At 46.7% G+C, this 27,113-nt stretch overlaps 2 protein-coding genes across 16 annotated transcripts in view, besides 4 other annotated features; one reads left to right on the plus strand and one right to left on the minus strand.

Annotated features, from left to right (window-relative positions):
* MCFD2 (multiple coagulation factor deficiency 2, ER cargo receptor complex subunit) overlaps nt 1-12,896 on the minus strand; it is a 39,986-nt gene extending 27,090 nt beyond the window's left edge. The window contains exon 1 of one of the 2 annotated variants that reach the window (NM_001171508.2): nt 12,613-12,896. Coding sequence is in view for 1 of the 2 variants with exons in the window: in NM_001171511.3 (NP_001164982.1) it covers nt 12,613-12,704 (92 nt within the window). In the remaining variant the exon portion in view is untranslated. The remainder of the gene's footprint in view (nt 1-12,612) is intronic. The other variant, NM_001171511.3, reaches the window with a different exon arrangement.
* Nucleotides 1-27,113, plus strand: part of TTC7A (tetratricopeptide repeat domain 7A) — a 160,258-nt gene that overhangs the window by 13,094 nt on the left and 120,051 nt on the right. For 11 of the 14 annotated variants that reach the window (XR_007078570.1, NM_001288951.2, NM_020458.4 and 8 more), the window contains exons 1-2: nt 12,265-12,766; nt 21,404-21,567. Coding sequence is in view for 12 of the 14 variants with exons in the window: in NM_001288951.2 (NP_001275880.1) it covers nt 12,583-12,766; nt 21,404-21,567 (348 nt within the window). In the remaining 2 variants the exon portion in view is untranslated. Of the gene's footprint in view, nt 1-12,264; nt 12,767-15,439; nt 16,278-21,403; nt 21,568-27,113 lie in introns of those variants that run through there. The other 3 variants (NM_001288953.2, XM_047445148.1, XM_017004525.2) reach the window with 2 other exon arrangements.
* Nucleotides 11,799-11,868: a silencer, noted in NCBI's record as "silent region_11458". NCBI's record gives its function as "represses an Ori minimal core promoter by ATAC-STARR-seq in GM12878 lymphoblastoid cells {active_cell/tissue: GM12878}" and the evidence as "EXISTENCE:reporter gene assay evidence [ECO:0000049][PMID:35858748]".
* Nucleotides 11,949-12,478: a silencer, noted in NCBI's record as "silent region_11459". NCBI's record gives its function as "represses an Ori minimal core promoter by ATAC-STARR-seq in GM12878 lymphoblastoid cells {active_cell/tissue: GM12878}" and the evidence as "EXISTENCE:reporter gene assay evidence [ECO:0000049][PMID:35858748]".
* Nucleotides 13,469-13,548: an enhancer, noted in NCBI's record as "active region_15716". NCBI's record gives its function as "activates an Ori minimal core promoter by ATAC-STARR-seq in GM12878 lymphoblastoid cells {active_cell/tissue: GM12878}" and the evidence as "EXISTENCE:reporter gene assay evidence [ECO:0000049][PMID:35858748]".
* Nucleotides 26,171-26,465: a silencer, noted in NCBI's record as "tiled region #4700; K562 Repressive DNase matched - State 5:Enh". NCBI's record gives its function as "represses a minimal TATA promoter and a strong SV40 promoter by Sharpr-MPRA in K562 cells {active_cell/tissue: K562}" and the evidence as "EXISTENCE:reporter gene assay evidence [ECO:0000049][PMID:27701403]".

Here is a 27,113-nt window from a genome sequence, read left to right on the forward strand (position 1 = left end):
TGAGACCAGCCTGGCCAACATGGCAAAACTCTGTCTCTACTAAAAATACAAAAATTAGCTGGGTGTGGTGGTGGGTGCCTGTAATCTCAGCTGTTTGGTAGGTTGAGGTGGGAGAATCGCTTGAACCTGGAAGGTGGAGGTTGGAGTGAGCCAAGATTGCACCACTGCACCCCAGCCTGGGGCAATAGAGTGGGACTCTGTCCCAAAAAAAGAAAACAAAACAAAACAAAAAAACACTTCTAGGCTGGGTACAGTGGCTCATGCATGTAATCCTAGCACTTTGGGAAGCTAAGGTAGGAAGACTGCTTGAGGCCCACAGTTCTGAGACCAGCCTGGTCAACATAGCCAGACCCCATGTCTATAGGAAAAATTTAAAAACTACCTGGCTGTGGTGGTACACACCTGTAGTTCTAGCTACTTGGGAGGCTGAGGCAGGATTGCTTGAGCCCAGAAGTTTGGGGCTGCAGTGAGCTATGATAGCGCAACTACACTCCAGCCTGGGCAACAGAGCACGACCCTGTCTCAAAATACATAAATAAATAAAGAAATAAATAGCTCTTCTAAATAACATGTAGGTCAAATAAGATATCATAAAGGAAATGTAAAAAAATTTTTGAACTGAATGTTAACAAAATTTCTGTGTATCAGTGCTTATAGCTAACACGGGGGTACAGCTAACACAGAAATATATATCCTTAAATGCATGTATCTTAAAAATAAGAAAGATTGAAAATTAATGAGCTGAGATTGAATTGCAAAAAGCCAGAAAAATAAGATATGGGATGCTATATTATTATTCACAAAGATTCACTGCCCATCTCTGGGCATTGGTATTAGGCTGAGTCATATTTCTTCCTCTGGTCAGTGGAATATGTACAGAAGTGTTATGTGTCACACCTAGACAGAAGTTTTAAGAATCAACATATGGTTCACCATATCATCTCTTCTCCTTCTGCCATGATAATTGTCAATGTTTTAGACAGTGGCTGCTTTGCTAGCTTGAGCCCCAGAGTGAAGAAATATGGAGAAAAGCCCAGCCAAGCTGGGTGGAATAGGTGGCAGGAGTGAGAAATAAACTAAGTTGGTGAAAGCCCTGAGATTTTGGGGGGAGTTTTTTACTATGTATCATAACCTAACCTTTCCCTACTGTTATTTAAGTACAGAAGAAACTTGAATACAATAAGATAAATGAAATAATAAAGATAACAAAATTAATGCAGTGGAAAGCAACATGTAATAGAGAGGATCATTATAAACAAAAACTGGTTCTTTTTTCAAAAGTAATAAAATTTATAAATCCCTGGAAAATTATCAAGAAAAATTTTAAAAAGAGATAATGCACAAATAATGAATATGAATACCAGTAATGAAAATTCAAATAGCACTATAAATTCTACGAACACTTAAAAGATAAGCAGATTTTATAATTAACTTCATGCCTAAAATGTAAAAAGCTAGATGAAACGTATTCCTAGGAAAAAAAAAAAAAACTTACCAAAAATTGACCAAAGAAGAAATGGAAATTTGAAGTCCTATAATTTTTTTTTTTTTTTTTTTTAGACAAAGTCTCACTCTTGTACCCCAGGCTGGAATGCAGTGGCGCGATCTTGGCTCACTGCAACCTCTGCCTCCCAGGTTCAAGCGATTCTCCTGCCTCAGCCTCCCAAGTAGCTGGGATTACAGGCGCCTGCAACCACGTGCAGCTAATTTTTGTATTTCTAGTAGAGACAGGGTTTCAGCCTGTTGGCCAAGCTGGTCTCGAACTCCTGACCTCAGGTGATCCACCCGCCTCAGCCTCCCAAAGTGCAGGGATTACAGGCGTGAGCCACCGCACCCAGCCTGAAGTCCTATAATTTTTAAAGAAATCCAATCAGTAATTTTTAAACCTTCCCATAAATAGCTGAATGGAAAAATAATGCTTTATATGAACTCTTTGGAGAAAAGAAAAAAATATATATACCCTCTGATTCATTTACAAAGCTATCATAATTTTGATGACCAAAAGCCAATGAAGACAGTTCCAGATGAGAAAATTTAGCCGTATCTCATGGATACCAGAATTCTAAACAAAACATTTTATTAGCAATTCAAATCAAACAATATATAAAAAGGAAAATACATATTGATCAATGTGATAGACAGAATAATGGCCCCCAAAGATGTTTATGTCCTAATCCTTGAAATCTATGAGTGTTATTTATTTAGGAGTGCAGTGGTGCAATCATGGCTCACTGCAGCTTTCAGCTGTAGCTGGGATTATAGGCATATACCATCATGCCTAGCTAATTAAAAAAAATTTTCTTTTAAATATAGACAGGGTCTGGCTCTATTGCCCAGGCTAGTCTCGAACTCCTGGCCTCAAGCAATCCTCTCGCCTCAGCTTCTGAAAGTGCTGGGCTTACAGCCATAAGCCACCATGCTCAGATTGAATGTTATTTTACATGCAAAAAGGACTTTGCAGAGGTGATTAAATTGAGGACCTTGAGATGGGGAGATTATCTTGGATGATCTCCATGAGCCCAATATAATCACAAGAGTCTTTCTAAGAGGGAAACAGGAGGGTCAGAGTCAGAGTAGAGGTGCCCATGGAAGCAAAGGTTGGAGTGATGAGCTTTGAAGATGTAGAAAGGGGTCACCAGCCAAGGAATGCAGTCGGCCTCTAGAACTGATCTTCCCTTTTCATGTTTCTAGAGGCCAGCTGGTTCTTTGGGGGAAAAAACAAAAACAGACAATAATAAATAAATAAATAAATAAATAAATAAATAAAATTGATAAATCCCTGTCAAATCATGAGTAGTAGATTTGAGAAGAAATGCAGCTCTGCCAACACCTTGATTTAGTTCATAAGACCTACTTTGGACTTCTGACCTCAGGAATTTTAAGATAATGAATACATGTTGTTTAAAGCCATTTAAATGTGTGCTAATTTGTTAAGAAGCAATAGGAAATTAATACAACTAAGTTGATTCCAGAAATGTGAGGACGGTTTAACCTTTGAAAATCAAAGTATTTCACCATATTAATGGATCTAAGGAAGAAAAATCATATGACAATCTCAGTAAGTGCAAAGAAGTATTCGTAAAATTCAATTTCAATCATAATGTTTTTAAAAAACCTTTAACAAACTAGGAATAGAAAAAACTTCCTAAATCTGAGAAAAGATATCAGAAAGCAATGTAGGGCTTCTGGGATTCTTTTTTTTTTTTTTGAGACAGAGTCTTGCTCTGTCACCCAGGCTGGAGTGCAGTGGCGGGGTCTTGGCTCACTGCAACCTCTTCCTCCTCGGTTCAAGCAATTCCTGTGCCTCAGCCTCCCAAGTAGCTGGGATTACAGGTGCCCCCACCATACTTGGCTAATTTTTGTATTTTTAGTAGAGATGGGGTTTCACCATGTTGACCAGGCTGGTCTCAAACTCTTGACCTCATATGATCCTCGCACCTTGGCCTCCCAAAGTGCTGGGATTACAGGCGTAAGCCATTGTGCCCAGCCTGAAACCTTATTTATTGACCCTAGTTGATGGTTAATAAGAGTTTGCTGTATAATGATTACATCTATGCACTTTCTTTTGTGTTATTTTACACAACAAAAAATGTTTTTAAAAGAGAAGAAAAAGAGGAAGAAAAGAAAGAGAAAGAAAGATTAATATAGAAGCAGGTGGAGGCCAGGTGCAGTGGCTCAGGCCTGTAATCCCAGCAATTTGGGAGGCCAAGATGGGTGGATCACCTGAGTTTAGGAGTTCGAGACCAGTTTGGCCAACAAGGTGAAACCCCATCTCTGCTAAAGATACAAAAATTAGCCAAGAGTGGTGGTGCATGCTTGTAGTCCCAGCTACTCAAGCAGCTGAGGCAGGAGGATCGCTTGAACCCAGGAGGCAGAGGTTGCAGCAAGCGCAGATCGCACCACTGCACTCCAGCCTGAGCAACAGAGTGAGACTCCATCTCAAAAAAAAAAAAAAAAACAGATGGAGCAAAGATATATTTTAAGGCTCAAAACTGCTATAATCTCTGAGTGGCCAGACACTCAAGGCTAGCCTTAGGAGTGATGGGACTTAAAACCAGACCAGCTAAGCTGCACTGAAAAGGCTCTGAGCCCTTGTGGGTTGGGATGGCTTCTCTCCCTCAGGATGGCAGTAGCTGGGCAGAGAACCAGCACTGGGCAAGATGGAGAAATCATGGGCTCCTGCTCTGGAGAGGGGCCCATTGTAGCAGTCTTGCAAAATGACATAGAAGCCACTAACAAGAATTAAGAGTCACCTGGGACCCCGAGGAACAGAAGGGACTGGGATGGTGGGAGGGAGGGCAGTGCCTGGAGAGATATTGGTATCTCAATCATGAAGTGAGTGGCTGGGGATAAAAAACACCCCAAAGCTCTCATCTCCAAGTGTGGGAAAATCTTCAACATTCTGAGATTCTAAAATTAATATAACAAATAATTACTGAGTGTCTACTATGTGCAAGCACAAAGAATTCATGATTCTGAAGCTTGCCTTTGTAGGACTTCATCTCTTAGCGTAATGATTACATGTAGTTTTTCTGGCAGCTGACAAAGGAAAAGACCATATAGCCAGCTCCTGGCAGAGTTTTAATGACAACATTCTGGGAGGGCTGGTTCAGTATTGAAATTAAGTAAGACATAAGATACCATGGGCAGGATGTGCTCTGAGCCAATGATCATGGTAATGAGTAAAAGTTGATTTCCGAATGTAGCGATCCTGAGCCATGCACATGACTACATAAAGTTGGGAAGGCAGTTGTCATTGTGCTCTACTTCGCATATACTGATGATCTGAGTGGCTGAAATGACTGTTGATCATGAAGCAAATGTTTAATTTATATTTAAATTTAGGATTTCTAGGGTGACAGCAAGGTGGAGTGTCATAAAAAAGTCAGAGCACTGGTCAGAAATCTAGCATGTGCTGGGAACACAGGGCTCTAAGGGACCCCACATGGTAAGTATGAAAGAAGAGGCCAGAGTGGAAGGTGGGGAGGGCATCTCATTAGGCTTGGTGCTCTACTTCTGATGGCTGGGAGCACTTGGTGACCTCCAGCCCAACTACTCACAGCCATTGTGACAACTAGTATAAGAATGATTTGATGAAGGCGAGGAGAATGTCATAATAATCATCCATAATAAATTTTTGAGTCAGTACACAGGAAGAACAGAAACCATCTACACCTAAGGTACTGTTGACCTTGACATGGCTTTACTATTGCAGGAAACTCTTACCCAGGATGATAAAAGTTGTAAATAACTTCACTGTTTTTTGCAGAAGTTTTCAGAAGAAACCATTTAAATGAACTCGATGACTTTTGTTTTTGAGACAGAGTCTTGCTCTGTTGCTCAGGCTGGAGTGCAGTGGCACAATCTCAGCTCACTGCAACCTCTGCCTTCCGGGTTCAAGCAATGCTTGTGCATCAGCCACCTGAATTGCTGGTATTATAGATGCATGCCACCACGCCCAGCTAATTTTTGTATTTTTAGTAGAGACAGGGTTTTGCCATGTTGGCCAGGCTGGTCTTGAACTGGCTGGTCTCCAACTCCTGACCTCAAGTGATCCACCCACCTCAACCTCCCAAATTGCTGGCATTACAGGTGTGAGCCACCCAACCCGGCCTGTGACTTTTCAATAGATAGACTCAAACTGCTTTTTATTCTCTAAAACACTTTAAAAACCCTCCCCTCATAGGTTGCAGTAAGCCTGGATGACAGAGGGAGACTCTGTCTCAAAAACAAAAACAAACAAACAAAAAAACCCGCACTTCAAAACCATCACTTTTGCCCTATCCCAACAATCCCAATCCTGGAATAAGGTATGAAGACTACTGCTCTTTTTTTTTTTTTTTTTTTTTTTTTTTTTTTTGAGACTGAGTCTCGCTCTGTCGCCAGGCTGGAGTGCAGTGGCATGATCTGGGCTCACTGCAACCTCCGCCTCCCGGGTTCAAGCGATTCTCTTGCCTCAGCCTCCTGAGTAGCTGGAACTACAGGCGCGCACCACCACGTCCAGCTAATTTTTGTATTTTTAGTAGAGACAGGGTTTCATCATGTTGGCCAGGATGGTCTTGATATCTTGACCTCGTGATCCACCCACCTCGGCCTCCCAAAGTGTGGGGATTACAGGTGTGAGCCACCACGCCGAGCCCTAAGACTACTGGTCTTTAAGGCCTTTGATTACTAGACCAACACCCCTGAGAAGCGTTGGTCACTAGATGGCTGAAGGCTTGTCCCTGCTGGAAAAGAGCTGTGAAGGGGTCAGGCGTGTGTGGAGGAACAGCTCATTACAAATGTGAGCCATGACAACTGTTCCTCCCCACACTCTTTCATCCTGAGCCCAGGAGTTCAAGGCTGCAGTGAACTATGATACTGTTGTATCATGATCCTTGCCCAGTCCTAATCAAGTCCCGTCATTGGAAGAGCTGCTTTAAAATAAACTCCTTTCTTGCCACTGAGCTTAAGCAAAAAAAATAAAAAAACAAAACAGACCCCAACACTTCATAACTATTCCAACTTTGCCTTCCCTATTCCAGACACTGCTATGACTCTGTCAGGGTAGTGTTCTCCCTTCCTGCCATGAGAACAAGCTAAGCTTTGCGTTATCACAAAAATTGTCTTGATGGTATTTGCTGTCACCCAAATGTGTACATTTACTTTTCTAGATAGCATTCAATTATTGAGGCCCGCAGTGATCCAACTGAGACCTCCTCAACACTGCAGTCCAAGACCCCTGACTCGGAAACAGGGTGATCCTCTGAGGCTCTTAAGCTTCCTGCTTGGAGTTCTTTCAGACTGAAACAATGAGAGATGCAAGTCTTGTATTGGACCCAAGCTCCAATTTCTTTTTTTAATTTTTCTTTTAGGTGTGATGGCTCACACCTATAATCCTAGAGACTAGGGAGGCTGAGGTGGGAGGATTGCTAGTGGCCAGGAGTTTTGAGACCAGCCTGGGCAACATAGCAAGATTCAGTCTCTTAAAAAATTAGAAAACATAGCTAGGGGTGGTGGCGTGTGCCTGTAGTCCCAGCTACTCGGGAGGCTGAGGCTGGAGGATGGCTTGAGCCCAGGAGTTCAAGGCTGCAGTGAGCTATGATTGCACCATAGCACTCCAGCCCAGGTGACAGAGCAAGACCCTGTCTCTAAAAACATAAAAAATAATAAGAAATAAATATATTTGCTTATTTAGCTTCCCAAATACTGAGCTTATTTTCTCTTCTACCAATAAAGAACTCTTTATCTGACCATATTTGAAAATCTTTTCCCCCTTGTGGATATCTGCCTTATTACTAACAACGCTACTACTTGTCTGTGTTCATCCTTGTCATTTTTTTGTTGTGCATCTGTAAGAGGAAAGTTTTTAGAGAAGAAGATAGGTGTAGGTCTCAGTCTGTCCCTTAGCTGGCCCAGGGACAAATTTTGTCTCTGATCAAAACTTTATGAGAACTTTTCTCAGACGTGTCTTATTTTGTCTTTAAGAGTTTGGTTCAGGACAATCTCTCCGGACCCTCTGTCTGCTGGGAACTGTAAATTCATCAGGATTACAGTTGGAAAAGGTCTAGCTATGAGGCTGGGGGGTCCTGAGCCACAGGATACACAAGCAACTGTCAGCTCACCATTCGCAGACTCTCATGGTTCTGTCTTAATATCAACCTGTCTATGGCTTCCTCGGGCCAGACTTCTGCTTCTTGCATGTATTTATGCTGTCACCCAAATGTGTACACTTACTTTTATAGACAGCATCATCATTTCCCCAAAGATAATTTAGAATTGCGGTAGCCACTATGAGGAATTTCTGATATGCACAAAAGTATTCACTTTAGAATGCAAAGTGAACACAATTCCAAACATCCAGTGGTCTTCTTTTTTTTCATTAGCATGAGCAAGCATACAAAAGAAACAGGATTCCAAATTTTTTTTTTTTTTTTTGAGATAGGCTCTCTGTCACCCAGGCTGGAGTGCAGTGGCACGATCTCAGCTCACTGCAACCTCTGCCTCCTGGGCTCAAGCGATCCTCCCACCTCAGCCCCTCAAGTAGGTGGGACCACAGGCACCTGCCCACCATGCCAGGCTAATTTTTGTATTTTTTGTAGAGATGGGTTTTTGCCATATTGCCCAGGCTCGTCTCGAACTCCTGAGCTCAAGTGATCTGCCCACCTTGGCCTCCCAAAGTGCTAGGATTACAGGAGTGAGCCACCATGCCCAACCCCAAAAATTACTTCCTTAACAGATTTCTTGGCCAAAGCAAAATAAAAAGCTGAACTACTTAAAACTATCTTTTAGACCTCCCCTGCCCCAATATCACAGCTGAAACCTGCTATTTCTTTTCCCCTACCCTATGCTCCTCCATCTCCCTCTGCCCTTTTCTCTCCCTCAGATCCACTCCCCTTTCCTCCTGGCTGGCTAGATACCCCAAAGCTCACTTAACTTCAGAATAGAAAAAAAAAATCTCTATGGTGGATTTTAAGCCCTGTTTTCATTTTTAGCTGAAAGCCATTGTAAAAGACTCTTCAAGGCCTAAATGGGACTTCGAATTGTTTTAGGAACATATCATCCAGAGCAGCCAGATTTATAGCAATTCATTTATATGCCAGTAGGGGCCTCAGAAGCAAAACATTGGATGAAAAAGTCAGAATGGAAAACCCCCCAATGATGATTTTTTATTTATTTTGTAGAGACAGGGTCTCACTAGATTGTCCAGGCTGGTCTTGAATTCCTGGACTCAAGTGATTCTCCCACCTCCTTCTCCCAAAGTGTTAGGATTATAGGCACGAGCTGCCATGCCTGGCCCAACAGTGATTTCAAAGGCCATGGATTGCATAGGAAGCTGAAGGGGTTTGGGGAAGCTGTGAACGTTAGTCAAGGTCTTTTGGAGGCTATCGGCAGTCTTCCCTGTGAAAGCAAAATGTGCTGTAATTAGTTCTTTGTCAAGAGAGAAGTCTGTTCAGCAGGTCATGGACTGAAGAAAACTACTGTGTATATATATGTAAAAGAGAGAAGTCTGATGGAGACTTCAGGGCTAGGTCCTTTACTATCTAGTGGCAGAATTCTGGAGTAGATCTTGAAGCAGAGGTGATGGGACTCTTTTCTCTTTTTGTGAATGGCCTTAAACCAGAAATAGGGGATTTATTATGCAAACAAAAACTAGAATGGGAAACAGCCCCATGGCCAGATCTCCAAAACCTCCTTGAACATTTTGAAAGAGCCCTAGAATTAAGAAACTAAAGAAAAAGAAAAAAGCAAAAATCAAGTCACCAATGAAGGTGTTCAATTTCCCACTCAGCCTTTAAACCCACAAGGAAACATTTCTCTAAAACGTAAAGGACAACCTTACAAACTTGATGGATATAGGAACAAAATATCAATCTTAAACTTGATCACTATTATACCTTTTTTTTTCCTTAATATCAGTAAACTTCTTGGGTCATACGCCTATCTAATAATCCTCAACACAACTTCCCTTTGCCACAGCCTAAACCTGTGCCTCGGACCTTCAACCGAGGGGGTATTCTCTTCTACTTTGTGACACTATACTTTAATAACTTAATAGCAAGGGATTCATTGTGTGAATGGAGTTACCACATGACATGCTCTCCTGAGGATTTTTTTCCTTCTAGTCCCTGAGGCCCTTCCTATCCATAATAAGGTCATAGCTAATTTGGATATTGATTTATCAGTACTTTGGTGTGTAAATCAAGCATTAAGTTGAAGTTCTCTTATAGTCAATAAATTCTATGGGCCCTGTGTGGTGGGTGGTTCATACCTGCAATCAAAGCACTTTGGAGGCTGGGCAGGGTGGCTCATGCCTGTAATCCCAGCACTTTGGGAGGCCAAGGCGGGCAGATCATGAGGTCAGGAGTTTGAGACCAGCCTGGCCAACATAGTGAAACCCGTCTCTACTAAAAATACAAAAATTAGCTGAGCATGGTGGTGCACGCCTGTAGTCCCAGCTACTCGGGAGGCTAAGGCAGGAGAATTGCTTGAACCTGGGAGGCGGAGGTTGTTGTGAGCTGAGATCGTGCCACTGCATTCCAGCCTGGGCAACAGAGCGAGACTCTGTCTCAAAAAAAAAAAAAAAAAGTACTTTGCGGGCCAGGGTGGGAGGACCGCTTGAAGCTGGGAGTTTAAGACCAGCCTGGGCAACACAGCAAGATCCCGTCTCTACAAACAAAATAATAAATTAAAAATAATAGTAAAATAAAGTAAAAATTTTACTGATACTCTACAGGAGCTAAACCCATCAAGGTTCAGACTGACCCATCTAAACCTCTACCCAAAATTGTACAATAGCCTCTAAAACAAGTCACTAAGGAAGGAATAAAATTGGCCAGGCGCAGTGGCTCAAGCCTGTAATCCTAGCACTTTGGGAGGCCAAGGTGGGTTCTTGTTCCTAGTTTTTTTACACCCCTGAGAAATGTTGGTCATCAGAGGGCTGGGGTTTTGTCCCTACTGGAAAATAGCTGTGAAGGGGTCCGGCGTATGTTGAGGAAGAGCTCATTAAAAATGTGAGCCATGAAGACTGTTCCTCCCCACACTCCTTTATGCCCACACATACATGAGTATTGGTGACCCCCTTAAAGCAACAAGCAGTGATTCCCTCTACAGTTAGTTCACTAGGTGCTCTACAACCTGGGGGCAGGGCTGGCAAAGGACTAGGAAAAAAGAGGCAGGAAAGGAGGTCTTATTTCTGCCAAGGTCGCCTCCCTCTTATCAACCCTGCTGTTCACTCCCTGCCCCAGGGCTGACTCCCAGGAATGCCAGGCGTGGGGCAAATCACAGTGTGTTCTCGGGTCACCCTAATCCAACCGCTCTCTCCAAGTGAAATCCGGTTCTGGTGACCATCAAAGGCAGCCAAAGGGTAACAAAAAGCCAGCTTGAGGAGTTGACTGGAGTAAGCCAGGAGTTTACAGACTGCTTGACTAAACTGTCTCTAAATTCCAACTGCCAGAGCAGCTTCAGCTTCCCTTCATCTACCTCCTGGCCTCTGGGGGTTCAGAACAGTCCCCAGGTGCTCAGAGCAGCACCCACCGTTAGGAAATCCTGCCCACCAAACAAGGACTGGAGCTGCATTTAGAACCCGGAGAGGAGGGCCTCCACATGGGAGTCGGGGGTCAGTGGGAACAGGAAGACTGTCTTCAACTAATCACCCTGTGTGGCTTCATGTGAAAGGCCACACGGGACTATGCACTAGGAGCCTGGGTTCTGCTTGACATAAAAACCTTCCCTCGGTTACAGTTGTCCAAAAACACTTAGGGCAGTGGTGAAGACTCCAGAGGGAGGACGTGGAGCACCTTCTAACTCTTAGGAGTCTGCTCAAAAGTTTGCCCTGACCCTGCTGTCTTTTGAGTCTTCAGTCTGGACCATACAATGTGTCACTTAAATGCCGGTGGTTTTTGGTTTCGGGTCTTGCTGTGGCTTCTCCAGCACTGGTCTGTGAGCTGCGGCGGCAGCGGGGCCGGGCCCCTGTAAGAGGTCTCCCCCCAAGGGTGGACCTCGGCTGCCCCCGCTAGGCCCCGCCCCGTAGTCCTGTGAACTTCTGGGCACCCCACAGCCCTGGGCTAAACCCTGCTAAGCACTCCATAGAGCTTTGATCACAGTCTTAGACCAGCATGAAGAAATAAATAAATACCAAGGTGGTGAAACAGCCTAAAGCCTTTAAGAAATCCAGGGCAACAGAGATTCCACAGAGGACAGGTCAACGGGTTAGGGAAGTCAAGTTGGAAAGAGGAACTCCGCTAAAATAAGAAAATACAAATGCTCCCAGCAGAGGGGCGTCCAGAGAGTCGCGGGCCTGGGAACGGGCCTGGGTCCTCGCGAGCATGCCTGGCCCGCATCGCAACAGGGCGGGGCGGACAGCGGCAGGCCAGCTCCCGGGAGGCTCGCCGTCGGGGTTGGGGCCTGTCGGCCGGCCTCTCCCCATTTTTGTGACGTGTCAGGGGCAGCAGCGGTGACGGGGCCACCACACAAAGCCAGGTCGTCGGGCAGTGGTCTCCCAGGCTAAGAGCCCCGATGGGATGGGGAGGGGGCGGGAAGCGAGGCGCCCCCGGGCGCCGGGGCTCCGCGCGGGATTAAAGTGAGCTCCGACTCCGCGGCGGGGGCGGCGGCGGGGGGCGGGTACCCGGGCGGCCGCGAGCGCCCTTCGCGCGCCTGGCTGCTGTGGCCGCGCTGGCAGCCAGCGAGCCCGGCTCGCCGAGGCCTCCCCACGCCCCCGCGGGGGTGGAGCCGCGGCCAGGGGCGGGTCCGCAGCTGGCGGCGCCGGGGCCCGGGGCGGAGGCTGTGGCAGCAGCTGCAGCGGCGGCGGCGGCGGCAGCGCCAGGAGCTGCTACAGCAGAGGCGGAGGTTGCTCCTGTACGCGTACGGGCCGCTCGGCCGGAGCCGCAGCCCGGAGGCGCCGGGCGGTGCGCTGGGAGCTGCTGGTGCTGCTGCTGCTGCTGCTGCCCACCCTCCGCCGCCCGGGCCCCCGCTGCCGCCCGGGCCCCGGCTGCCGTCTGCGCCCCCGTCGACCCCGCCCGCGAGTGCGCCCCAGCCAGGACGCCGCCCCCGGCCGGGTCTCCACTTCTTGGCCGCACCTTCCATGACAGCGCCCGCGAGAAGATGGCTGCGAAGGGCGCGCACGGCTCCTACCTGAAGGTGGAGAGCGAGCTGGAGCGCTGCCGCGCCGAGGGCCACTGGGACCGCATGCCGGAGCTGGTCCGGCAGCTGCAGACGCTGAGCATGCCCGGCGGCGGAGGTAACAGGCGAGGCAGCCCGAGCGCAGCGTTCACCTTTCCGGACACCGGTGAGTAAGGGAAGAGGCTGGCTCGCCGGCAGCGAGCGCGCGAAACGCACCGCCTCCTCCAGGAAGCGCGCCCAGACAGTCCTCGGCCGACAGCGGGCGCCTGCCAGCCCACCGTGCTAGTCTTAAGAGCAGCCAGGGCAGTTAGGAAGGTCCTTCTGCCGCGAGAGAAAAATCACATGTGGTTTGGGGGCTTGGAGGGAAGAGAAACGGCTTTTGCTCTGTGTCCTTTAGGATAATGTGGCTAACTCTGTCTACCGTGAAATGGTGGTATCTGCATATCATGAGATCAGTGCATTGGCTGGACTCTGCCCCCCACCGCGGTCCGAGGGTGGGGTGTCCCTAAACTCCATCAGGTGAAGTGTGTCTGTGTCGTCTTTGTCCATAGTTCTCGCAAGTGACGTTGAAAACGGAGCTCCGTCCGAAGCAGACAGGGGCGAGGGTTTGACGAGCTCCAGGGTGGGGTGGTGGAGAAATGGGGAAGAGGCTTGGCCAGCCTCAGTTTCCTCATCTGTGGCGATCTCGGGACACATCCAGCTCTAGCAGTCGGTGGCTTTAGCAGTAGGGCTGGTTTGGCTGGGCCGGGCTCTTGTGCTGGGGCGGGAAAGCACCCTGATGTGGCAGCGGGGAACACCCCGCCCCAGTCTCTAACCTCAAATCCTGTTCCTGGGGCCTTCAGCTTACCCTCCCTGAGTCCTCTCTGTGGGCACAATCACTTAGGAGGCTTTGTGGAAGGAGGCAGGGAATAAATGAATACAGATATAAATAATTTTTAAAGACTGCTCAGCCTGTTGAAGGCTCTGAGAGGGACAGATCGTGATAGTAATAGTAATAGTCAACGCTTACTTCGTGCTTCCTGTGTGCCAGACACTGTCCTGAGCACTTTAATCAACCCCGTGAAGCAGGTACTCTTGTTTGTCCCACTTTACAGATAAGGAAACTGAGGCACAGAGCAACTAAATAACTTGATCAGCTAGCCAATAAGTTGTGGAACCAGGATTTGTGCCCAGGTTTCTGAGTACATCCTTTAAATCACTTGCACTATTACCTCTCAAAGATGTACAGCACAAAATCCTTGCCCTTGAAGAGCTCCCACAGTGAATGGGGAGGCAAGAAAGTGATCGGAGGGCAATTGTTTGTGGGGTTTTTTTGGTTGTCTTTTTGTTTTTGTTTTTGTTTGTTTGTTTGTTTGTTTGTTTTTGAGACAGGGTCTCTCTCTGTTACCCAGGCTGGAGTGTAATAGTGCGATCTCAGCTCACTGCAGCCTCAACTTCCTGGGCTCAAGCGATCATTCCACCTCAGCCTCCCAAGTAGCTGGGACTACAGGTGCTGGCTACCATGCCCGGCTAATTTTTGCAGTTTTAGTAGAGACGGGGTTTCGCCATGTTGCCCAGGCTGATCTCCAACTAGGCTGAAGCATTCCGCCCACCTGGGCCTCCCAAAGTGCTGGGATTACAGGCATGAACCACTGTGTCTGGCCGCTTTCTCTATTTTTTAAATTCTTGTAAACAACCCTATTAGGAGGGCAGGAGTTATTGTCCCCATTTTAGACATAGGGACACCAAGGCCCAGAGAGGTCATATAATGTGTATGTGGTTAAAGCCTGTACTCAAGCCTGAGTCTCTGCCACCAAGTCTCCTAGTGTCAGAGTTGGGGACACGGAGCCTGGGCTGGCTTCACTGTGGGAACTGGCCAGTATAAGGAAGGAGATGGAGGGTCAGCAGGGTCTCTCCTGCCAGTTTTGGGGTCTGTGAATGATTTTTCTCCCAGTTAAATCCAGATACACTATCACAAAGCATGCACTCACACTGGGACACATAGTCATACATGCATATGCACACACACAAACACGAGGAACAAAAAAAAATGCCTCCCAAAGCCCATGCGTAGAGCATTGTTTGGATTGACTGCTGTTTTGGTCCTTTCTCTACAGGGTTCCTTGATCACTCAAGGGATTGAGAGCTTGTTCTTTTTTGGGGTTTGATGCAGACTCCCCTGCAGCCCTGAAGGGAGATTCTTAACATCCCACCTGGCCTGTTTGACTCTTACAAGTCAGTGATCTGAAGCTTCCACAGTTACAGAATTGGGAGAGGTTCTGAGATGGGGTTGAAACCCATTTTACTGAGGCCTTGAGGTCCAGCGGTGTCTGATATTTCCTACAGAAATGAAAAGTACCTCCTACCCAGAGGTAGATTCAGGGAGGCAGAAAGGGAAGATGAGCTGTGGGGACTCTTTCTGATCTGGAGGGATGAAAGATCAGGAGATACTTAGCAGAGTAGGCCCCTGTACCCTTTTCCTGTCTAAGGTTGCTCCTCACCACCCAACCAGGGGTAAGGTGCTTGCTACTGTCTCCTCACTCACATCCGGTCTAGATTAGGTCAGGATGGAGCAGGGGAACCCCAGAGTCCTGCTTGCTGTGCTGGGGTTTGTTCATATAGAAACAAAGAGCCCATCCAAGTGATTAAAAAACAACTTTATTATGAAGAATTTTCAAAACATTAAAGAACATGAAAGAATGAGTCCCTTGTATCCATCAACCAACAGCAGTGATACGAACTCACGAAGTCTCGTCTGAGCTATGCTCAACCCTTTTCCTTCCACATTTCAGTTTTTCAGTATGTACTTATTAAATAAGAACTCTGGTATTTTGGGTTTTTTTTTTTTTTTTTTTTTTTGAGACAAGAACTTGCTCTTTCACCCAGACTGGAGTTCAGTGGTATAATTATAGCTTACTACACACTCAAACTCGTGGGCTCAAGGGAACCTTCCACCTCAGCCTCCTGACTAGAAGGAAGGGCAGACTGGGCAACAAAGTGAGATCCCATCTCTACCCCCTACTCCCCTAAAAAATATAGCTAGGCATGGTGGCACACACCTGTAGTCCCAGCTGTTTGGGAGGCCAAGACGGGAGGATCACTTGAGGCCAGGAGTTCGAGATCAGCCCAGGCAACATACCTCAGGCACACGTCAGCAAACCCAGCTAATTTTCAAATTTTTTTGTAGAGATGGGGTCTTGCTATGTTGCCCAAGTTGGTCTTGAACTCCTGGGCTTAAGCTATTCTCCTACCTCGGCCTCCCAAAGTGTTGAGATTTCAGGCATGAGCCACCACACCTAGCAATAAGAACTCTTTTTGAAAATATAGCCACTGTACCATTATTACACCTTACAAAAATCTAACAATTACGTTTTACAATTAGTTATTAGAGTCAGGATCCAAATTAGGCGACATAACTGCATTTGATTGTTAGGTTAGGTCTCTGTACCCCACCCAACATTTTGTTATGAAAATTTCAAATATACAGTAAAGGTCAAAAAAATTTGCAGTGAACACCTGTGTACCTATTAACCTTTTGCTGTGCTTGCTTTATTACATATCTGTTCTCTACTCATCTTGAGACTTTCTTTTTAATTTTTTTTTTTATTCTTAGAGACAAGGTCTTACTCTCATAGTTCACTTCACCCTGGGCTCAAGTGATCCTCCTGCCTCAGCCTCCCAAATGGCTGGGATCACAGGTGTGTATGCCACTACACCCAGTTAATTTTTTTTTTAGATGGAGTCTTGCTCTGTTGCCAGGCTGGAGTGCAGTGGTGCGATCTCGGCTCATTGCAACCTCTGCCTCCCGGGTTCAAGCGATTCTTCTGCCTCAGCCTCCCAAGTAGCTGGGACTACAGGTGCGTGGCACCACACCCAGCTAATTTTTGTATTTTTAGAGACGAGGTTTCACCATGTTGGCCAGGATGGTCTCTATCTGTTGACCTCATGTTCCAGCCGCCTCGGCCTCCCGAAGTGCTGGGATTACGGGCGTGAGCCACCGTGCCCAGCTACCTAGTTAATTTTTTTATTTTTTGTAGAGATAGGATTTCACTATGTGGTCCAGTCTGATTTTGAACTCCTAGACTCAAGCAATCTTCCTGCCTTGATCTCCCAAAGTGCTGGAATTATAGGTGTGAGCCACCGTGCCCGGTCTTTGAGTGTCTCTTAATCTGTAGTCACCCTCCCCGCCGCCCCACTTTTTTTTTCTTCTTCTTAAGACTGGAGATTGTTTTGAACATTTCTTCCGTTTCAGTTAGAAGGGGTTTGTTTGAGGCAGATGGTCTCTTGCTAGTTTCAGCCTTTTCCTCTTGGCTGTGGTTGGCAGGTCCCAGCCTTCTATAGTCCTGGGAGGTGAGCAGCTGCAGAAACCACTGTGCCCGTTTGCCCCAGCGGGGAAGGGCCTGGTCTGAATCCTGGCCTGGCTGGCTAGACCAATGTTTCCTGACTGTGAATGGGTGGGTTGTGGAGAGGGGATCACTGTCATCCAAACATGGGGTCTTGAAGGGTATTCCTGTGACCTGGCACTCTTGGAGAGGCCGGGAGGGGATGTGAGCTGCAGGGGCTATAAGGAAGGTGGGCACTGAGGCCTTCCAGACACGATGGGGTTGGGAGACTGGGTGGCCAGTAAATGGGGCTTTGGGGCTTTGGGGCTTTGCTGAGGGCAAGGTGCTGAGCAGGGCTGCAGAATCAGCACCCAGAGTCAGATTCACTATCGGTCTGATGGCAAGGTCTTCTTAAATGCCCCTGGGTAGAGAGAAGCTGCAGCATTTCACCAGAACTGGGATAGGTAGTAGGTTTCGGACAACAGGATGATAAAAAGCAACTTGTTTTCCCTTTGGAAGGACAGGGAAGCCTTTATCCACCTGAATTCTTTTTTTTTAATTTTTTTAATTTTTATTTTCTAGAGATGAGGTATTGCCCTGTTGCCTAGGCTGGAGTGCAGTGGCACAGTCATGGCTCCCTACAGCGTTGAACTCTTGGGCTCAAGCCATCCTTCCACCTCAGCCTTCCAAGTAGCTGGGACTCTAGGCGTGTACCTCTAACATCAGCTAACTTTTTTTGTGTGTAGCGACAGAGTCTCACTATGTTGACCAGGCTGGTCTCTAACTCCTGGTCTCAATCAGTCCTACCACCTCGGCCTCCCAAAGTGCTGGGATTATAGGCATAAGCCACCACAGCAGGCCTGAATTCTTGTTTAACAACTATAAGTCTAGAACTTCTAATTCCGAAACATCCTTCAGTTCCATAGACTGAACAGTTGAGAATAGTTGGATGGAAAGAAAAGAGGAAGGCAAGAGAGAGGTAGGGCAGGGAGAGGAGAGTTGAGCAAAGGAGGAAAAGAAAGTGAATTTTTGCTGCCTGCTGAGTGTCTGGCCATGTTTGTTTACCATGGTAAACAAACAACAAGTAGATTGAGTTGGGGGCTGAAAGGGGCAGGCAGAAAGCCTTCTGTGAAGGACCTGAAGTGTCAATCAACAAAGTAGTCTGAAAGTCACAGGTATATGAAGGTAAGGACAGTTCTTATCCCTGTCCTTGGATTTACAACTAGCTTTTAACGTACTCTTTTAAGTTGTTAAGACTGTTGTTTATTTTGAAATTACCAGCAGCTCCGCTGTGCATGGGTTGCAGGAGAGACAGGGTGTTTTTGGCTCTGTTATGTTTTATTATTGTTACTGGCTGTGACCCTAACAATATTGCATATCTTTATTATCATCTATAAAATGGTGATAATACCTACCTTTCAGGGCTGTAGAGATGAAATGATGCTATATAAAAAAGTGTCTGGCCCATACTAAGCCTTCAACAAATATTAGTGCCTCTTTCGCAGCCAGTCACTCTTATGGTTTAGAGATATGTGGTGAAGGATCAATTTTGTTTTCTTTAAATTCCAAATCTGGCCAGGCATAGTGGTTCACATCTGTAATCCTAGCATTTTGGGAGGCCGAGGCAGGCAGATCACTTGAGCCCAGGAGTTCGAGACCAGCCTGGCCAACATGGTAAAACCCCGTCTCTACCAAAAATACAAAAAATTAGCTGGGTGTGGTGGTGCGTGCCTGTAGTCCCAGCTACTCAGTAGGCTGAGGCAGGAGAATCCTTTAAACCCAGGAGGTGGAGGTTGCAGTGAGCTGAGATTGTGCCATTGCGCTTCAGCCTGGGTGATAGAGACCCTGTCTGAAAATAAATTCCCAATCTGTTATGCTCTGATACTTTCATAAAGTACAATAAAAATGAATTGCTAGAAAAATAAAAGAAAAATACACAAAGTACTACCTCCCAATTTTTTAGTATTAGATTTCAACAGATTTAAAATTACTCTGTCAGATTTCTAAGGTGTACTTTTAAGTTTCTGCACTCATCTCCTTGGTATTGGATCACAAGCATGGAGAGACCCGCAGGCCATGGCCAGCCGCACTTGGAGCAGCCTGGGTCCAAAGGGGCGTGCTCTGGGGAGGAAGCTGGTTTCTCTTGGCATGAAAGTACCCAACCAAACAGCTCAACCAAGCGAGGAGCTCTGGTCCGGGCAGGTGGATGGCAGAGTGCACGGGATGGCCACTGATGGTGCCGTATCTGGTGGCACGGTGGCCCAAGGGCACGGAGTCCTGCCAGTGCACAGAGGAAAGGGGGCAACAAGGCGGGGACCAGCTGGGGGACGGGGCCAGCATCCTGAGGGGTGTGTTTCCCTCTTTAGGCTCTGACTTCAAACCCCACCCCTGGCTTTACAGAGGCAAAGCAGGTTAGAAGCAGGGAGCAACTTTCCCCAAGGCCCACAGCTCTGGAATGTGGCTCTGACTGACTGGATCTATGGGGATGTTCAAAAATAATTTTGATGTACGTTGCCAAATTACCCTAGAGGTTCTACCAACTTATAGTCTGCCAGCAATGAATGATAGTTTGAACCAGGTACTTTTTTGACCATTTCCTTAAAATGTTAATTTTAAAAGTCATGAGGTACATAGCAAAGGATCCCATAACAGGTGCCTTCAGAACGAAACCCCCCTGCGATGGTGTTCTTGGGATTCTGGGCTTTAGAACCGTTCTCTGTGGGGAATCTCCCTTACGGTGAGAGATTCTTCTTCAGAGGCATGAAGTTTTTTGTGTTTTTCTAAAGACGAGGTCTCCCTATGTTGCCCAGGCTGGTCTTGAACTCCTGGGCTTGAGCAATTCTTCCACCTCAGCCTCCCAAGAAGCTGGGACTACAGGCTTGCACTACTGTGCCCAGCTAAGGCATGCAGTTTTGGACTAGTGGCTATGAGATGTTAGCAGACTGTGGTATCCTGAGAGTGAGGAGGCAATGGCAGCCCTGTAGATCTGAGAACACTGTACTGGTAGCAAAAAGAGCACTTTGAAAAAGATGGCACCAAGCAGGCATTCCTAGGGATGTTTTTGGATTGGCACTTAACTCTCGATCCTGATGGCTTCGCTGTGGGGTAGTTGAGAGGATCCAATTCACTCAACAGGTATTTACTCAGTGCTTATATTGAATGGTGGGCCTGCTCCTCACCCCAGTTGCTGGGAGGGGCAATGAGCACAGCCACCCAAGAACCATGGTGAAACCATCTTGACCTCAGACCCTGCACACTGAACACCCGGCTCCCATGCTCGAGCCACCTCTGCTGTAGGTAGCAGGAATCTGGTGGTCACAAGACGAGTTTTCAGTGTGGTAAAGGGAGGCAGCAAATAAACCAAGCAGTATATTATCTTTATTTTTATTTTTTGAGACAGAATCTCACTTTGTTGCCCAGGCTGGAGTGCAGTGGTGTGATCTCGGCTCACTGCAACCTCCGTCTCCCGAATTCAGGCAGTTCTGCCTCAGCTTCCCGAGTAGCTGGGATTACAGGTGCCCATCATCATGCCTGGCTAATTTTTGCATTTTTAGTGGAGACAGAGTTTTGCCATGTTGGCCAGGCTGGTCTCAAACTCCTGACCTCAAGTGATCTGCCTGCCTTGGGCTCCCAAAGTGCTGGGATTACAGGTGTGAGCCACTGCGCTCACTAAACCAAGCAGTATAAAACCACCTACCAGGTGGTGAGGGATGCAAATGAGCTACCCTCATTTGCGGGTATACCCTATATGTGAGAGAACTCCAGAAAATGCAGGTATTCAACATGTTCGAGGATTTGCCTTGGCAACAAGTAGATCTGCTTCCCACCTAACTCTACTGTGGCTGCTAGGTTATCCTGAGTCATGTCAAATTACCTTAAAAACTGGATGGTATGGTGGCTGATGCCTGTAATCCCAGCACTTTGGGAGGCTGAGTCAGGAGGGTCACTTGAGCCTGGGAGTGCCATGATCATGCCAGTGCACTCCAGCTAGGGTGGCAGAGTGAGACTCTGTTTAAAACAAACAAACAAACAAAAACACTTAAAAATGGGGAAAACCAATTATGGTTACATAGAAATTAGGAGCATGTAAAAGTACATTATTAAACCACTTCATGTATTTTTTCTCTTCAATCATTTGGGGAGAATTCTTCTTGGTTTAAGAACTTATTATCCACAGCACAGCATATGTATGACTTTGTCCCTTATTTTAAATTCTGAAATTCTGGGAATTTGTCCCCGAGTCCTGGGAACTCTGTCTTCCCAACCATTAAACTACAGCAGAAAATAAATCCAAGGGGCAATTTGTATTGTGACCATAGTAGAATGCCTGTGTCTTTTCTTTAAAGGCTGTTGAAATTTATGAAAAATGTGCCTTTATTTTCTCAGACCTGAGCCATTCATGTACTGGGTATGGGTGGTTGGGTGGGTCCAGGAGTGTGCAACTCCCTCCATTATCCGCCTTGTTCGGGGTTTGCTGCTCTGACCCCTACTTTGCTTTTCAGATGACTTTGGGAAATTGCTGCTGGCTGAGGCCCTCCTGGAGCAGTGTTTGAAGGAGAACCATGCCAAAATAAAAGACTCCATGCCTTTGCTGGAGAAGAATGAGCCGAAGATGAGCGAAGCCAAAAATTATCTAAGCAGTATCCTTAACCATGGGAGGCTCTCGGTAAGTCGTCAGCCTTCAAGCCTGAGACCTCCTCTCCTCGTCTGTCTTGCCTCGCATCTGTCCAGTCCTCCCTGAGTCATTTGGTCACCTGAGCAACAAGTCTCTCTTACAAGCTGCCCTTGCACTTACAGTAGCCACTGGCTGCACATGGCCCCTTGAGCACTTGGAGTATGGCTAGTCCACATTGAGATGTGCTGTAAGTATAAAGCATACACAAGGTTTCAAAGACTTAGTACAAAACAAAGAATAGAAAAGAGCAGTAACTTTTTATGTTGATTACATGTTCAGATGGTATATTTTGGATATATTGGGTTAAATAAAACATGTTATTAAAATTAATTTCACCTTTTACCTTTTTCAGTGTGACTAAAAAAAATCTTAGTAGAAATTTTTAAATTACACATGTGGTTCACATTTGTGGCTTACATCATATTTTTTTGGACAGTGCTTGGTTGACTTAATATGTGCCTGGCCCTTTGGGCTCCTTGGGTCAGGGGGCTCTCAGGAAAATAAAACCTCAGTGAACCTGTGACCTAGTTAGAAACAGGCAAACATGCAGAGTTGGCTAGGGACAGAAGAGCTCCATAACAGGGCAAGCCCATTTAAGTCCACGTGTATTTATCAAGCACCTACTGAGTACAAGACACTGAGGGAGGTAGAGGACCCACCTCTCCCTCCCAGAAGGAGTATGGTCACAACTTTCTCTGGACTTTGCTGCTCAAAATGTGGTCCACCCACCAGCAGTGTAGGCATCATTGGGGAGCTGGTTAGAAATGCAATTAAGAGAAAAAAAAAAAGAAATGCAATTAAGAATTAGAATCTGTGTTTTAACAAGCTCTCCTGGGTGATTCATATGTGCATCCAAGTTTGAGGCTGTGGCTGTGTTAGATTACAATGTATCCTGAACTATAATAGTGGCATGGGTATGTCATTAGAAACTCAAAAGAGGAGGGGGAGGGGGTAAAAAAAAACTCAAAGAGGAAGTGATCCCTCCCTCCCTCCCTTCCTTCCTTGCTTCCTTCCCCTCTGTCTCTCTCTTTCTTTCTGTCTTTCTGTCTGTCTTTATTTTCTTCAGGGTCTCGCTGTGTTACTCAGGCTGGTCTCCAACTCCTGGGCTCAAGCGATCCTCCTACTTCAGCCTCCCGAAGCGTTGGGATTACAGGAGTGAGGCACTGCGCCCAGCTGATTTTTAAAGAGCTATTCCAAAGTAATATATTCACTTCCTTAAACCTTTTATTCCAACGTACTGTGTGCAAGGCATTGTGTTGTGCACTCTGAAGGCAATCAAGACGAATCCAGCATGGACCCTGCCCTCAAGGAGGTTGCAGGTCTCTTGGGAAGATAAGTCCTATCAGCAAGTAAATAGCCTTCCTCCAAGGTAGACCGTGATAGGAGTGCTATCCACGAGGAAGCAAGTCTGAGGGGGATGCTCTTTGGGGATAAGCAGAGAGCAGACTCTGAGTAATGGCAGTACTAGAATTGGATCCTTCTGGGGCTGGATCTAGACAAGGTTGTAAAGGTACTTTGGGGCTAGTAAGGGCAGACTGGAACACCAGGCCAGGATGTGCAGGGCTTATTTTGTAAGGGAGGGAAAGGCCAGGGGAGAGGGGAGTGTGTACTAGAAGTTTAAGGTTACTGCTTTTAGGCTCCTTGACAGGTATTGTAGCACTGGGAGGTTTGTATTGGGTTAAAATAGCTGCCTGACCCTGAGCATGCTTGACCCCACAGACCTTCCAGTTTCTCATCTGCTGGTCAAAAGGGTTGGACCAGATTGGTGGGGTTCAAGCTTTTCCCACCAAGACCGCTTTTCGTTTTAAAAATATTAAATTAATAATTAAATGTTAAATTAAATATTTAAAAATTGTTTTTAAAATAAACATGATTCAGCCTTATTGTAAAAATTCCAGTCAACAAATAAGTAATTTGAGTGATAAATAAAAGTCCCAGCTGGCCTATGGCTCACGCCTGTAGTCTTAGCACTTTGGGAGGCTAAGGTGGGAGGATTGCTTGAGCCAGAAGTTTGAGATCAGACTGGGCAACATGGTGAGACCCCATCTCTACAGAAAATTTTTTTAATTAGCTAGGCGTGGTGGCTTGCACCTGTGGTCCCAGCTACCCAAGAAGCTGCGGCTGGAGGGTCACTTGAGCCTAGGAGGTTGGGGCTGCAGTGAGTTGTGTTCATGCCACTGCACTCCAGCCTGGGTGACAGAGCAAGATCCTGTCTCACACACACAAAAAAAGTTCTTGTTTTCCAACCTCACCCTCATGCCCACACCCATCCTCAGAGTTGAGCACTGGTCAGTATTTGATGTGCATCTCCTATGCCTTTCTTTGTGCATTTACAAACATATATACACACAGATATTTCTTTTCATAGAGTTGTAAGATATATATTTTTCACCAAGAAGTTTTATTTAGAGCTTTCTCCATGCCAGTATTGTCTCATTCTTTGTATTGGCTGAATAGTAACCACATGTATTGTGACAACGGTTTTATTAAATACAAATTGTACCATATTTTGTTAAACAAAGACATATATAGGCACCAATAATGTGCAGAAATTTACTGTTATCCAGGCCAGAGCCAAAAACTTAATGATGATCTGTAAAATAATATATTAAATGTCGTTTGTGGGATTCTTTTTTGAGACAGGGTCTCACTCTGTCACCCAGGCTGGAGTGCAGTGGCGTGAACATGGCTCACTGCAGACTGGACCTCCTGGGCTCAAGTGATCATCCTGCTTCAGCCTCCTGAGTAGCTGGGACTATAGGCATGCACCACCACACCCAGCTAATTTTTAAATTTTTTTGTAGAGACAAAGTCTTGTCATATTGCTCAGGCTGGTCTTAAACTCCTGGGATCAAGCAGTCCTGTCACCTGTGCCTCCCAAAGTGCTAGGATTACAGGCGTGAGCCACCATGCCCGGCCATCATTTGTAGTATTTTCTATCTCACCCGCAAAGATCAGGTCACAGTTGGCGTGACCTTTCTTGGCAGCTGATGCAGTCTCAGGTGGATTCCTGTGCATCCAAGTAGCTCTGCTGGATGAGAAGGAGAGCTGGGAGAGGTGGGTCCTGAGGCCCCTCCTTGGGAAAGCTTGAAACCCTTTCCTCTTGGTTATCTCTCTAAGACCCCGTCCAGCTCAGTTGTGTGGAGATCAGTGAAAACAAGCCACTTGTCCTAAACTCTGTTCTGCTACTAGGTTGAGGCTTTGCACCATCGCATGCAGGCCTCCAAGGAACCTTCTGCAACGGTATTTACTATTAGCCCCATTTCTTTTTCTTTCTTTCTTTCTTTTTTTTTTTTTTCAATTTTTTGTAGAGACACAGTTCTTACTGTGTTTCTCAGGCTGGTCTCAGATTCTGGGTTTCAAGCGATCCTCTTGCCTTGGTCTCCCAAAGTGCTGGGATTACAGGTGTGAGCCACTGTGCCCTGCCAAGCTCCATCTCTTGAGACCCAAGAAAGGTGATCACAACCCAGGCCTTTAGTGTCTACAGCCCATGCTCTAATGCTGTCTCTCATTTCTTGGTACTGCCTCCCAGAGTACTGGGGTGGAAATAAAATAATGACTGGGAAAGTTGGATTCATGTGAAAGATGGTGATCACACCCCCACTTTTATAGTTCCCACGTTAGTCTGTGAAGTATTTCCTCATCCGTTCTTTCCTCATACCTGGATATCTCCATGAAGTCCTTTTTCCCCTTTTATTGACAGGGACAGTGAGGCACAAAAGGAGTAGGTGATGCGCTGATCCACACAGTAGAGGGGATTGTTCCTCTGGTAAAGCGACCTCCCCCGTGGCACCCTCCCACTGGGCAAGGGGTTCCGTTCCCTGACTGTTGTACTGATAGACCAAGAATATTTCACATTCAAATGCATGGGCCCCACAGAGTGCAGTGGACTCTTAATGTTGCCAAGTAAGGACATTAAGAAGCAAAAAATAGCAGCAAAATGATACCATCTTCTGCTCTTACTGTGCTATAACAGAAAAACAGTTTAGCATTGAAAGGGCAAGGTAGATATCCTTTCAGAACTAAGAGCCTTTTTTTTTTTTTTTTTTTTGAGACAACGGAGTCTCGCTCTGTCACCCAGGCTGGAGTACAGTGGCACGATCTTGGCTCACTGCAACCTCCGCCTCCCGGGTTCAAGCGATTCTTCTGCCTCAGCCTCCCAAGTAGCTAGGATTACAGGCGCCCACCACCACGCCCGGATAATTTTTGTATTTTTAGTAGAGACGGGTTTTACCATGTTGTCCAGGCTGGTCTCAAATTCCTGATCTTAGGTGATCTGCCTGCCTCGACCTCCCAAAGTGCTGGGATTACAGGCGTGAGCCACCGTACCCGGCCGAGCATTTTTTTAAATAGTGTAAATGTGGCTTTATAAAACATGCCCTGCATTGTCTAATTTTTCCCCAGCTTGGTGGAAGCTCTGTTGTAAACTGCCACTGGTCCTCCAGGAACCGCCACTAGCCACACCCCATCAGCATGCCTGAAATGTCCTTCTCTGCCTCACTGCCCTTGTCTCCATGTGCAGGATAATGATAAATACGCATACCCTGTATTTATCTTGCTCTTTTCCAAAGAAAAGTTCAAAGCTCTTTTCTGGACTTTGCCCTATTAATGCCTTCAGCATCGCTGTGATAGGCAGTGAGGAGTAGGTGTTATTATCTCTCCCTCACCCACGAGGAAGACGCAGCCCGAGCAGGGAGGAAATGAGCCCGTGGCTTGAGACCAGTGCAGGGAACGCAGAGTCACTGCCCAGCTTGGAAGGACTGTGGGCCACATACCTCTGGGATGTGTCATCTGTGGCCCTGGCCCAGGGAGTGGATGGCCTATCTGGGAAGACTAGCAAATCCCCTCAAAAGATTCAGCTTTGGAGAGTTAATTAATAGAGAGAGCAGGTCAGGCGTGCAGAGGCTGAATGGGCCCATTGGTAGAGGCATTGGAGGAGTTCAGCTGAAGGGAGCTCCCTGGTAGTCAAGGAGGCTTTCAGGAGAAGGTGGGCCTGAGCAAGGCCCCAAAGGATAGAAGAGGACCTGGTTAGGCCAGGGGGAAGGGGACCTGAGGAAGCACAGGCAAAAGAGGAATGTGGATTTACAAAGGCCAGAAGGACCAGTTGGGAAGGTGAATTTGGCTTCCCCAGAGCCTGTCTGTGCCACGCTTCATTTCTCTTGGCTTCTGAGAGGGCAGTAGATGGTAAGGAGTGCTGGAGGCTTGCCCTGGGGTCACAGGGACCCCAGACTCTTACCTCCCTACAGGGAGACAGGGGTAGCACCTTCCTGCCAGTGACAAATGCCAGGTGTGGGATGAGAGCTGCATCTTCGGGGAGTTTTATGGACAGATTGGTGCCTGTGTGGCGGGAGCAGTGCCCAGGGCCTGGCCCATAGGCATTGTGAGCCAGCTGAGGACAGGATCAGAGGCAGGGGGCCAGAGCAAATGGCCTGCAGAGGCGGGAGGTTACAAGGAGAACTGGGGCCATGTCCAAGGTCAGAACTCACGTGCCAGGGTGGCACAGCCCAGGGCCAGCACAGCCTCCCTCAGGCAACAGC

This window comes from Homo sapiens, chromosome 2, assembly GCF_000001405.40.
Source record: "Homo sapiens chromosome 2, GRCh38.p14 Primary Assembly".
NCBI classification, from domain to species: domain Eukaryota; kingdom Metazoa; phylum Chordata; class Mammalia; order Primates; family Hominidae; genus Homo; species Homo sapiens.